Genomic DNA, 12,773 nt, shown 5'->3' with positions numbered 1-12,773 from the left:
ATTAGTATTACAAATATTATTATTGTTTGTTTATTTATCATTATGTAACAACCACTTCAATTCTATTTCAATAAATGTGATCTGAAAGGAAATAAACTAGTGAGAATATATAACATGTTATATAATTAATTATATTATTACTCAGAGACTATATCTTAAATTTAACCAATACGAGACAACTTTTCCTAATACTAACAAGTAAGTCAGAAGTATTAAAACTAAAAAAAAAAAAGTTGGTTCATAGCAAAAAAAATTTACAGTTATAATGGACTCATATACATTTCACAGTGTTTTGATGAGTAAGAACTCAACAATCCAAATTGTCTTCACCTGCAAAATGATCACATGGTCACCTCATCCAAAATAACAAAGAAAAAAAATCCCCAGGAACACTAGCTAAATATGAAAATCTCACTTATAATTCTAGATTGATATCTTCACTAACAAAGATTAACTGCTTTGATCAGGAAATGCTTCTAAAAGGAGCTCTAGATTATTAATTAAAAGCAACACTTCAACCATCTGCCTGTGAGTTAACACTGAGTGTGTGTAGCGGCTAAGGCTTTCTGTTGAGGTCCAATATCAACAACCATTGTATCACCAATATTCTGTCAATGGATATCCATTCAGGGAATACACATTACTTTTAAACAAAGCTAGAAAAGAGAAATAGCTGCAAAAAGATTACATTACCATGCCTTTCTTCTAGTAGGGGAGAGTGAAAGTTTATTATAATACATGGTTTAACACACACACACACACAGAGCTAGAAGCTCACATTAACCATCTATTTAACAAAACAAACAAAAATAGCGATCACATCCTTAAGTCTTCTATTTTAGTATACAAACATATATATGGTTTTCAATGCACAAAAAAACCAAAACAAGGATAAAAATACTACTTTTATCCAATTTCAGACAACTGACTCAGGTAATTTAAAAAGGAAGGTATACTACAACTGAAATATTGATACAGATTCAATGGACCCTGAAGAGCAAGAAAAAATGCAGAAGGAAGATGTGCACACTTTGAAACTGAGACACTTCATCCTGGATATAAAGACTGAGACATGATCGGTCTAAAAAACATGATAGAAAAATGTGGACAGAATGAATACGAGACAATTCCTCACACTTGGGACATTAGAATAAAGGGATACTTCTTTAAAGGAGTTAACTTTAAAATCAATTTTTAAAATTATTGTAATAAGTAATAAATTTATAGAATAGTTCACCCCAACAGAAGCTACCAATGAAAGGCCAGGCGCAGTGGCTCACACCTGTAATCCCAGCACTTTGGGAGGCCAAGGTGGGTGGATCACCTGAGGTCAAGAGTTCAAGACCAGGCTAGCCAACATGGTGAAACCCCGTCTCTACCAAAAATACAAAAACTAGCTGGGTGTGGTGGCACACGCCTGTAGTCCCAGCTACTCGGGAGGCTGAGACAGGAGAATCGCTTGAACCTGGGAGGTGGAAGTTGCAAGTGAGCTGAGATGCTGAGATTGCGCCACTGCACTCCAACCTGGTTGAGACAGAGTGAGACTTCATCTCAAAAAAATAAATAAATAAAATAAAAATAAAAATTTACCAATGAAAAACATAAACATGATCCAAAAGGGAATAAACTAGTGAGAATAAACTAATAAGGAATCCTAGGCATGTCCAGGGTGTAGCCTTAACCAGAGGCTCAGGTTAAGGACAGTAAGCAATCGCCATGCCTATTACAAACTGCTCCCTCTTGCACTGTGAAGCCCAAATACTTACTATGGTATGACTCATTTTATATGTATAAATATAAACACATGGATCTATATTTTTAATAAGAATCACCTTATATGCCATTCTAAAATATTTTATGTATTTTATGTAGGTATCAAAAGTACAGCTCTTATTTTCTCTTGACAGCCTACAAAAACAAATTTAAGAAAATGGACTCACTTTTCTTTCACAGTTAAGAATAAACACCCTCCCCCAATCAAGATTAAGCTTTTTTGTTTTTTCAGGTGAAAAAAAATCTGAAAATTATCAACTACCCACATGCAAAACTGATGCAATAATTTTGTCCTTTGATCTTAACTCATCAACACCATTTTCAGGAGGTCTTTCACAAATTTCATCAAAAATACGCAAACAATGAAATACCATGGAATTCTCAAATAGTATAGTTACATTAACACACTTAATCACTTATTTTTCTTTTTACAGTAAATGTTCAATTAAGCATGTTCACAAATGGGTGTTCTGGTTAACTGATTTTTCTGGTTTACTAAGAGTTAAACCTTTTCTTGTGTATCAATCATTGCCAAAATTTATTTCTAAAATGCACTATTACCCTTTAGCCAGAAATGGTGACCAAATTAATCTTTCAGGATAGAGATGATTCCAATGCCAGTCATCATCCTAAACCATCTCAATCACAGCACTGTACTGCCTAGAGACAATAAGGTTAAAGGTTTAGCTAACCTGTGGTTTTGTTTTTCCTATTTTCCCAACATAAATTATTTAATTGTGCTTTCCTCATTAATACAAATAGAGCATAGAAAAATTTCTGATTATGTTCCAGTAAATCAGGGTTTTACTGTTCATTTAGTATTTAAGAAGGGAACTGATTTAAATGCACCCACATGAATGGTATCCATATGTAACACACCTTTTGTTGTTTGTTTTTTTTTAATAGCCCCACATCTACCAATTTCAGCATCTGGAGCTAAAATCTTATTTAGTGATAGATGGCTATTTCAAAAATGTGGAGCCCTTCCTTTTCTAATTCTTCTAATTTTGGGAACCACCAACTTTCCAGACCAATTCTAATGTTCGCATTTTGCTTTTTGATGGTCTCTCTTCTAGGATTTCCTTTCATGAAACCATGACAATTTTACTTAAACATATGTTTTCTATGCTTTCTTGCATAATAAGGATATACACTGGCAGCAATCACAGGAAAATGTGGCAAATCTTTGTTGCAAAGGTGATTATATACAATGGATTTTGTTTTGTTCAGAGGTATATGAAAAAAATAGAAGGTTGATATACGAGATAATTGGGCCAATAGACACCTATACTGTTAATAAGTATACAGAAAAATTAAATGGAATTTTTCCTCTTTCTCCTATTGCATGAAAGTAGTAGTTCTGGTGTTATCAAGTTAACAAAGCTAGGGTGTCAAACCTTTTTCTTTTTATAATTAAATGATACACATTATTAATTTGCCATCGTGTGAATATTACAGCATAAACAGAGACATAATAAAGGTCTTTGTATTTCTACTGCGACTTACATTTTACGTCATTTTGGCAGAATCCTCTAAACTATATGAGTTAATTTTAAGAAATTTTGTTTTACTAACAAATTGTATCACTATGGAAAGAAGTACTAATAAAATTACATACATTTGTAAAGTGAGGATAATAGTTTTTACCTCGTGGAGTTCTGTTGGACTACTAGAAAAACCATGTGCAGTGCTTAGAACTGTGTCTAGCACACAGTAAGAACCAGTAAATGTCGTTATTGCTATGTATTTTTATCCAAAGATAATGCTTTTCTCCTGTAATTTATGAAAATTACAAAAACTGCAAACCAACTTAGATTAGCAGCTCAAATACAATGTTTGAAAAATGCTCCAATCCAATATTTTTAATATTCTTTTGGGAAAAAAGTGACCTCAGATTTATAAAGAAGGGGCATTCAAGTGAGTCTGACGAGCAAAATGTTAGGTGGAAGTGACCAAAATGATCTCTACCTTTAAACAATTCATTTTGGTTGAAAACATTTTGTAATGATTTGACCACATAACATTTCTAAATAATGATCAAAACATTAGCTGGCCATGAAGTAAACAAAACCTAGTGAAATTGTTCAACATGATACTTTGTGACTAAGCAGTCAGTCATTTTGACCATAAAGGTAGTTGAAGATGAAAACAAAACAAGGGACTTCTGGAGTCCATTAGACTCAAGCTAAAGCAAAACCTAATAACGGGTATAATTGCTAAGCAACAGAGAAAACTGTTCTCTTTCCTTACTGTTAATCTATCATTTCCTTTTCTAACTTACTTCTGAAGATCCACCAACCCACAACAATAAAAATTACAATTACGAACATAACCCCTATCCTTTCTCCATTGTTCACCTCTTACATCAAAAGCATACCTATATATTTTCAATTATTTTAAAAAATTCAAAGCTGACATTTTTTTCATCATCCTCCGAAAATTACAAAGGCTGAATACAATATCCTTCTATAAACTAATGATAGTACACTTAAATAATATGACGGGTAGGTGTCAAATAAAACAGGAGACACCTTCCCATTCAATTACAATATGAACGAACTCCACAAAAAAGGAAAGCTAAAAAGGTTTTCCAATACCAACACGAGAGAAAAATTAGTAACCAGATTAACTAACCCACTTCTCCATTCCTAAAGTGGGATCCTTAGTCTCTGAAAACCTTTAATTATTCTTAAATTCCCTTCGATTAAGAAAAATATCACAGGCACGCAAGCACACCTCAGCAGCCACGGCGCCCAGCAAAACAAACAGTGATGAGGATGAGGATGATACGAGAGGGGTTACACAATCTCTGCTTCAGACTGGGGGGCGTGTCCCCCAAGGTTTTCTCTTCCTTTCTACTGGAACGACAGCTGTAGCGCCACAGGGAGAACCCAGCCACACGGCCTGCAGGGCCCCAGGATTTTGTGTGGGGAGCAGAAAGGAAAGAAGGAAAATCTGAGGTTCCGAAAGGTGCACAAGAAAACGAGCTCGGCGCGGCGTTGGGAGCGAGTGCCGGGGGTTTGGGGATTCGGCGCAGCCGGGTGAGAGCCTCGGCCACCCTGGGGAGTGGAGAAAGCAGCGCTCACCGCCCCGTCCACCCGCTCGGCCCCGGCCCCCCGCACCCCACCCTCGGGGCGACCCGGACGCGCTCGGTGGGCGTCCCAAGGTGCAAACCAGCTGGGGAAGGCGGCGGGTCCTGAGGCTCCCGGGGTCTGGGGCAGGAGGGAAGAATCTTCTGTACCCGTTGTTCTCCGCACAGCAGCAGCTCCGGGTAACTGAACTCCACGCAGCTCTCGTCGGTGGGGTCCTTAAGCACCAGCTCCAGGCGCACCGTCTCCCTCGGCGGCCGCGGCGGCTGCTCAGCCCGGGAAGCCGACTCCCGCGGCGGGGGCGGCTGCAAGGGCAGCGGCGGGAACGGCGGCGGCGGCTCGGGCCGCGGGGGCTCCCGCTGCAGCGACATGGGCGGCTCGGCGCGGCTGACCTCGCGCTGGGGGAGCGGCTTCTCCCGCGACGGGGGCTGCGCGTCCGAGCGGGGGGCAGGCTCCCGCGGGGCCGGCGGCTCCGCCCGGGCCGGCTCGCGGTACGGCTGCGGCTCCAGCCGGGGGGGCTCGCGGGGGTACTCGGGCTCACGCTCGGGCCCCGGGTACTCGGCCTCGCGCCGCCGCACCGGTGACAAGCTAATGAACGCTACTCTGCGCGGCTCCGCCATCCCCACTGTTCTGGCCCTCCGCTTTTGCTCGAGCCGGCGCTCGCTTCTACGGCGCGCTGCGTGCCTGCCCGCCCTTCCTCTTGCTCTCTGTCGCTTTTCTTCCCTCCACCACCCTCAGCCGTCTCCGCCGGCGCCACGGTGAGTGCGGACCGTGTCCCCTTCCCCGCTACTACGTTCTGATGGGCTTCACCGCCATCGCCAGGGTCGCCGCGGCCGCCATGTTGGATCCCCCACATAAATAGAAGCAGGCCGCTGAGCGGGCGCATGCGCACAGAGGAGACGCTCGCGTCCACTGTCGTGGCTGTTGCTCAGTTTTCCTCTTTTCCTCCCAACAGTCTGGAGTCCAGACAGGTCGGCGGAAGTGACGACATGGCTCGGCCTGTTTCCGTGGAAACGGAGACGCCGTCTGCACCCTTCCTCAAAGGGAGGGTTCTGGGGTTTCCCGAGCAGTTTACTATTCGCACCCGGAAACCAGAGGCGCTCCAGGAGCTTCCCGGGGCTAGCATCGGGATGGGACTGAGACCGACCTAGCCATTGGCGCCGGGTCTCCCGTGCTGGGTTCAAGGGAATTGGGGTTGTTAGCTGATTATTCAAGGCGGACTCTGGGCAAGGGTAGAGAGACGCGCCAGCCGTTGTGCCTGCCCGCCCTGTGTCCCCGTAGCCTTAAGTATCGAGGGAAAAAAGGAAGTGCCCAGCTTCAGCCAGACTAGCCCCAGCGGCTTCCCTCCCGAAAGCGCAGGCCTCCCCTTCCTCGACCTACTCCGGTTTCCCTCGCCCGGCCGCAGTGGGCGTTGCGTGGGGCAGGGTCATTAAATGTTCAATAACGCTTTGCAGTTGGAAAATTAACAAGCAGATGAGGAGTTCTGGGCTCATTCAGAAGGCCTAAACTGCTGAAATCATAGAAAACTTCTTAAGAGGGTTTAGTGGTATTTCAGGAAACGTACTGTTTATGAGAATGCTAAAGGACCCATTTCAGGATGGGGAAGGAATTGATTGGGCACGCCCCATAGGCTCACTTGTAATTAATTAATTGGAAGTCGGGTTTAAAAGGATAAGAATTACTGGCCATTTTAATCCATTGAATAAAAAGTAAATTTGAGGGCTCGCCCTTCACATCCTGAAGGGAATCCAAGCCTTCTGTTAATTGCATTAACTATTGAAAGCTCTTTTATTAAGTCAGTGTGACGTCATTGACAAATTCTGAGAGGGTTCCGTTTTTTCCTCTCCTGTTATTACTTTCCCTACTTGGACGAAGATGGTGATGAAATCTATGATTCCAAAGGTCTCTCCCAGCTCTAAAACCCTATCTTTTCTACTCGGCGCCATGTTTTACCTACATTATCTCCTTCCCTATTGCTCCTTTTCTGATTCTGAATTCGGGTCTCATTTTTAGATTGCCTTAGTGATACTTAAATGACCTTTCTGCCTTCAGTCTCTGTTCCCACCAGTCTTGAGACGGGGTCATATTAATGTCTCTAAAAGAGTTTTTATTATATCGTTCTCTGTTCTGGCTGCAACTTACCTACAAACTGAGTTCTATGTATGTATACTCATATTCAATATCCTCCACAATTTAGCTCAGAGACTGCAAACTGGTGGTCTGTGGGCCAAATCCTTCTACAGGTGTGTTACTTATCCAACATTATCTTCTAACTTCTCACCCACTGAGTTTTCCAACTTTTTGATCCATAACCCACAGTAAGACATTTTACACTGTAACCTAGAATATACACCCATATATACATAACACATATGTGCATATGTGAAATATAAGTTTCACAATACTTACCTACTGCTTAGGATAAAGTAAAAGCAACAGACGCAACAGAGTTAATTTAATATAAAATATTTTATAATACAGTGTAGAAAAAAATGTTAACATCATATAGAAGCAAATTAGGAAAGATTTTATTTAATGCCATGGAAGTTCTTGCCTGATCATAGGTTTATTGCACTCCAGAATTCATTAGGACAGTGGTACATGAACATCTGATCCACTGTGGTGCCTGATCTTTTTCTTCTTCTAAACTGATCAAAATTGAAAACCCTAGTTCAGATATATAGGCAGTCATGAATAGTAATAATGCGTATGCATGTTCTGCATAGTAATAAATTCTTCTTTAATCTTAGTCTGACATCATGATAAATTGCATACCCGACAATCATTTCTCTGTGTAAATGAAGTACTAAGCTGTAATAATTTATTCTCTTCATAAAATACCAAGTTTAATCAAGTTAATTATTTAAATCAATAAAAATGATCTGGTTCACCCTATTAACTGCCCAACAAACTGTTTGAAAACTATATATTCTTTGTTAAAGGGTAGATTACAAGAAATGTTTTCCATGTTCTTAATTTAAAAAACAAGATTCTGATATAATGAACCTAAATCAAAATTCACAAATGGTGGCTGAAATCCTGTGAGAGTACAACATAAATCCATAGTTATTGTGCATAAACAATTCAAAATTAGTTTATAAAGGGAACGTCAACAAGTCCTATAACCACCACACCTTATTACTAATGGGTTCCACCACACTTCACCCAGGCACAGCAGATATAAACATCTGACAGACTGCTCAGAAAATTAAAGCTATTAGAGCTATAAATAAGGAATGCCTAAATATAAACATAGCAATGCCAATACATTAGTGCCGTTTTAAAAAGTGAATAAGATGCAGTGTAAACACACCTGATAGTTCCCTCTGTAAGCCACTTTCCCACTGATTTATAAAGCTATGGTTCTGTAATTCTTTTAAAAAGGACTATTTTTCTACACTGCTGCATGCAGTAATTTCACCGTACGTTCTTGATTACGACGCAGTCTTCAAATCCTCTTGAAGAGCTCAACATATCAGGATTTCTCCAGAAAGTTAGATTGTCATGTTTTCAGCAGCCTTTTGTGCTTTGGTAGTCTTTCGAAGCTCCTTAATAACCAGTGATATTTCCTTGGTTATTTATTAATTCTGGGTTAAGTCCTTGCTCACAAAGCTGTACACAAATAACCAGAGTTTCCAGTAAACCAGTATTCAGAATTCTTGAAATCTCTTTTTGTTTTTGAGATGGAGTCTTGCTCTGTCGCCCAGGCTGGAGTGCAGTGGCGCGATCTCGGCTCACTGCAAGCTCCGCCTTCCGGGTTCACACCGTTCTCCTGCCTCAGCCTCCCAAGTAGCTGAGACTACAAGCAGAATGTCCACAATCTCCCTCACCGCATTTTGATCACTGCTGCTGCCCCAATGCCGCTACTACTTGCCGTGATGGAGGCCAAGGGAACTATTTTAAAATTCTGAATATATTTTTCTCTATACAGTCAATAATTCCTCTATAAAATTATCTTGCTACACATATCTGGCATGAAAATATTATGCAACTTTCAGTATTAGTACTCTCAGCAAGTTGGACTGTTACTACATCATAGTTATTGTTGCTGTAAATATTCTGTGGTAGGTAATACACTGATACTGTGTTTTTGCCAAGAAGTATAGTTTTTCATTTATCAGCTGATTTGTCACTGAAAGCATGTGCACCATACCCATAAATACTGGATGAAGTTTTTCAGCCCTTACTATGACCCATATTTCTTTTGCACACTGATTGTCTTTCTCCTTAAGATTTGCGGAACAGCTCTCTGAGCTCGGACGTAGTTCACAGCAACGTGGCTAAACCAAGAAGTTGGAATCGTTGGTAAATACAGGACCCGCTATGGGGTCTCCCTCCAGAAAATGGTGAAGAAAATTGAAATCAGCCAGTACGCCAAGTACATTTGCTCTTTTCTGTGGCAAAACCAAGATGAAGAGACGAGCTGTGGGGATCTGGTGCTGTGGTTCTGCATGAAGACAGTAACGGTGTCTTCATCCAGGAACCACATTGTCTGGACCTACAATACCACTTCAGCTGTCACGGTAAAGTCCACCATCAGAAGACTGAAGCAATTGAAAGACCAGTAGACGCTCCTCTACTCTTTGAGACATCACTAGCCTATAATAAATGGGTTAATTTATGTAACCAAAAAAATTAAAAAGGTTTGTGGAAAAACTGAGAAATTGTGCCAATAACTCTACTCCCCCCACTTTTTTAGGAACATATTTGAGGGGCTTATTGACAAGTTCATCATGTTAAATTTTCAGATGTCCTTTTATTTTTTTCCCGAGATGGAGTCTTGCTCTGTTGCCCAGTCTGGAGTGAGTGGCGCGATCTTGGCTCACTGCAACCTCCGCCTCCTAAGTTCAAGCAATTCTCTTTCCTCCGCCTCCTGAGTAGCTGGGATTACAGGCGCATGCCACCATGCCCAGCTAATTTTTGTATTTTTAGAAATTTTATATTTTTGTATTTTTAGAGGTGGGGTTTCACCATGTTGGCCAGACTGGTCTCGAACTTCTGACCTCATGATCTGCCCACTTCAACCTCCCAAAGTGCTAGGATTACAGGTGTGAGCTACCGCACCCAGCCTCAGATGTCCTTTTAATTTTGAAGGCATTAAACTTTCATTTGCAGGAAAAGTGCTTTTTTTTTTTTTTTGTATTTATTGATCATTCTTGGGTGTTTCTCGGAGAGGGGGATGTGGCAGGGTCATAGGATAATAGTGGAGAGAAGGTCAGCAGATAAACACGTGAACAAAGGTCTCTGGTTTTCCTAGGCAGAGGTCCCTGCGGCCTTCCGCAGTGTTTGTGTCCCTGGGTACTTGAGATTAGGGAGTGGTGATGACTCTTAAGGAGCATGCTGCCTTCAAGCATCTGTTTAACAAAGCACATCTTGCACCGCCCTTAATCCATTTAACCCTGAGTTGACACAGCACATGTTTCAGAGAGCACGGGGTTGGGGGTAAGGTTATAGATTAACAGCATCCTAAGGCAGAAGAATTTTTCTTAGTACAGAACAAAATGGAGTCTCCTATGTCTACTTCTTTCTACACAGACACAGGAACAATCTGATCTCTCTTTCTTTTCCCCACATTTCCCCCTTTTCTTTTCGACAAAACTGCCATCGTCATCATGGCCCGTTCTCGATGGTCGCTGTCTCTTCGGAGCTGTTGGGTACACCTCCCAGATGGGGTGGCAGGGCAGAGGCGCTCCTCAACTCCCAGGCGGGTCGGCCGGGCAGAGGCACTCCTCACCTCCCAGGCGGGGCAGCCGGGCAGAGGCGCTCTGCACCTCCCAGATGGGGCGGCCAGGCAGAGGCGCTCCTCACCTCCCAGACGGGGTGGCCAGGCAGAGGTGCTCGCTTCCTAGACGGGCAGCTGGGCAGAGATGCTCCTCACCTGCCAGATGGGGCGGTCAGGCAGAGGCGCTCCTCACTTCCCAGACGATGGGTGGCCGGGCAGAGGCGCTCCTCACCTCCCAGACGGGGTGGCCGGGCAGAGGCGCTCCTCACCTCCCAGATGGGGCGGCCGGCCAGAGGCGCTCCTCACCTCCCAGACGGGGCGGCCGGGCAGAGGTGCTCGCTTCCTAGACGGGCGGCTGGGCAGAGATGCTCCTCACCTGCCAGATGGGGCGGTCAGGCAGAGGCGCTCCTCACTTCCCAGACGATGGGTGGCGGGGCAGAGGCGCTCCTCACTTCCCAGACGGGGCGGCTGGGCAGAGGCGCTCCTCACTTCCCAGACGGGGCAGCCAGGCAGAGGCGCTCGCTTCCTAGACGGGCGGCCGGGCAGAGATGCTCCTCACCTGCCAGATGGGGTGGTCAGGTAGAGGCGCTCCTCACATCCCAGACGGGGCGGCCGGGCAGAGGTGCTCGCTTCCTAGACGGGCAGCTGGGCAGAGATGCTCCTCACCTGCCAGATGGGGCAGTCAGGCAGAGGCGCTCCTCACTTCCCAGACGGGGCAGCCAGGCAGAGGGGGTCCTCACTTCCTAGACGGGGCGGCCAGGCAGAGACGCTCCTCACTTCCCAGACGGGGTGGTGGCCGGGCAGAGGCACTCCTCACCTCCCAGATGGGGCGGCTGGGCAGAGACGCTCCTCACTTCCCAGACGGGGTGGCGGCCGGGCAGAGGTGCTCCTCACTTCCCAGACGATGGGCGGCCGGGCAGAGGCGCTCCTCACATCCCAGACAGGGCGGCCAGGCAGAGGCGCTCCTCACATCCCAGACGGGGCGGCCGGGCAGAGGCGCTCCTCATCTCCCAGACGGGGCGGCTGGGCAGAGACGCTCCTCACTTCCCAGACGGGGTGGCGGCCAGGCAGAGAGGCTCCTCACTTCCTAGACGGGGTGGTGGCCAGGCAGAGGCTGTAATCTTGGCAATTTCAGAGGCCAAGGCAGGCAGCTGGGAGGTGGAGGTTGTAGCGAGCCGAGATCATGCCACTGCACTCCAGCCTGGGTAACATTGAGCATTGAGTGAGCGAGACTCCGTCTGCAATCCCAGCACCTCAGGAGGCCGAGGCAGGCAGATCACTCAAGGTCAAGAGCTGGAGACCAGCCCGGTCAACACAGTAAAACCCCGTCTCCACCAAAAATACAAAAAGCAGTCAAGCGTGGCGGCGCGTGCCTGCAATCCCAGGCACTCGGCAGGCCGAGGCAGGAGAATCACGGGAGCCCGAGGCAGGGAGGTTGCAGCGAGCTGAGATCACGGCAGTACAGTCCAGCAACAGAGGGAGACCGAAGAAGGGAGAGGGAGAGGGAGAGGGGGAGCTTTTTCTTTTTAGAATGAGATGTAAAGTCAATGTTTGATGATAGAGTTAACATTTTCTTAGTATTTCCATTATAATTCCAGACCCAGCAGCTAAATTGGAATATGTTTCTGTATTTTTCACTATCTTATTCCTTTTTCTTCTAATAATAAAACAATCTCTTTGAGAGCAATTTATACTAGTTTAATATATCATAGTTCACACACACATGTCATACTGATGGTGCTTTCCCAAAAACATACTTAAAGTTCTTCACTGTAACCCAGTTGAAAATTATGAGTTTTTTAATCACTGAATGAAATTCTCCTTTATTTCATTTCATAAGTTACGGGCAGTTGTGATAACATAAAATTAGGCTGTACAATGTTATCTGTCCAACAAAGGAACCTAGGAGTTCCAGTGAGATCCCAGTGACTGCAGTCACCCCTCCCTCCCTGTCCTTCTCTTCATCAGCAGTTACAGTGTCTGTATTCCTGGATAAGGATCAGTGTGGTACACTCTGATATTTTCCATAAGATTCTGTTGTAATATATTGCATGTTTTTAAAATGCTGCTTGTGATCCTCAAAACTGTTTCACAAACTTCTAATTGGCTGCGATCACCAATTTGAAAGTTAGTTCAGTCTCTTCCAGCAGAGACTGAGCAGGTGATGAGAAAGTAATTTTGTCACTAGG

General features: G+C 44.2%; 1 protein-coding gene and 2 pseudogenes across 8 annotated transcripts in view, besides 6 other annotated features; 1 reads left to right on the top strand and 2 right to left on the bottom strand.

The window, feature by feature from the left end:
* Positions 1 to 5,730, bottom strand: part of UBN2 (ubinuclein 2) — a 99,192-nt gene extending 93,462 nt beyond the window's left edge. For 6 of the 8 annotated variants that reach the window (XM_011516003.3, NM_173569.4, XM_011516002.4 and 3 more), the window contains exon 1: positions 5,015 to 5,730. In XM_011516003.3, coding sequence (XP_011514305.1) covers positions 5,015 to 5,482 — 468 coding nt within the window. In that variant the 5' untranslated portion in view covers positions 5,483 to 5,730. Of the gene's footprint in view, positions 1 to 4,509; positions 4,547 to 5,014 lie in introns of those variants that run through there. The other 2 variants (XM_024446704.2, XM_047420102.1) reach the window with 1 other exon arrangement.
* Positions 4,514 to 4,773: a silencer, noted in NCBI's record as "fragment chr7:138916940-138917199 (GRCh37/hg19 assembly coordinates)". NCBI's record gives its function as "represses an EF-1alpha promoter that drives an FKBP-Casp9 reporter gene in an ReSE screen in HepG2 liver carcinoma cells and phorbol 12-myristate 13-acetate-treated (for megakaryocytic differentiation) K562 erythroleukemia cells {active_cell/tissue: HepG2 | K562(+PMA)}" and the evidence as "EXISTENCE:reporter gene assay evidence [ECO:0000049][PMID:32094911]".
* Positions 4,514 to 4,939: a biological region, named in NCBI's record as "ReSE screen-validated silencer GRCh37_chr7:138916940-138917199".
* Positions 4,720 to 4,939: a silencer, noted in NCBI's record as "silent region_18694". NCBI's record gives its function as "represses an Ori minimal core promoter by ATAC-STARR-seq in GM12878 lymphoblastoid cells {active_cell/tissue: GM12878}" and the evidence as "EXISTENCE:reporter gene assay evidence [ECO:0000049][PMID:35858748]".
* Positions 5,150 to 5,399: a silencer, noted in NCBI's record as "silent region_18693". NCBI's record gives its function as "represses an Ori minimal core promoter by ATAC-STARR-seq in GM12878 lymphoblastoid cells {active_cell/tissue: GM12878}" and the evidence as "EXISTENCE:reporter gene assay evidence [ECO:0000049][PMID:35858748]".
* Positions 5,570 to 5,709: an enhancer, noted in NCBI's record as "active region_26754". NCBI's record gives its function as "activates an Ori minimal core promoter by ATAC-STARR-seq in GM12878 lymphoblastoid cells {active_cell/tissue: GM12878}" and the evidence as "EXISTENCE:reporter gene assay evidence [ECO:0000049][PMID:35858748]".
* Positions 5,790 to 5,949: an enhancer, noted in NCBI's record as "active region_26753". NCBI's record gives its function as "activates an Ori minimal core promoter by ATAC-STARR-seq in GM12878 lymphoblastoid cells {active_cell/tissue: GM12878}" and the evidence as "EXISTENCE:reporter gene assay evidence [ECO:0000049][PMID:35858748]".
* On the bottom strand, positions 8,343 to 8,530 carry MZT1P2 (mitotic spindle organizing protein 1 pseudogene 2; annotated as a pseudogene).
* Positions 9,108 to 9,496, top strand: RPL37AP5 (ribosomal protein L37a pseudogene 5; annotated as a pseudogene).

Source organism: Homo sapiens, chromosome 7 (assembly GCF_000001405.40).
Source record: "Homo sapiens chromosome 7, GRCh38.p14 Primary Assembly".
NCBI classification, from domain to species: domain Eukaryota; kingdom Metazoa; phylum Chordata; class Mammalia; order Primates; family Hominidae; genus Homo; species Homo sapiens.
The sequence above is the reverse complement of the archived record's forward strand: the minus strand, read 5'-3'. Positions and strand labels throughout refer to the sequence as shown.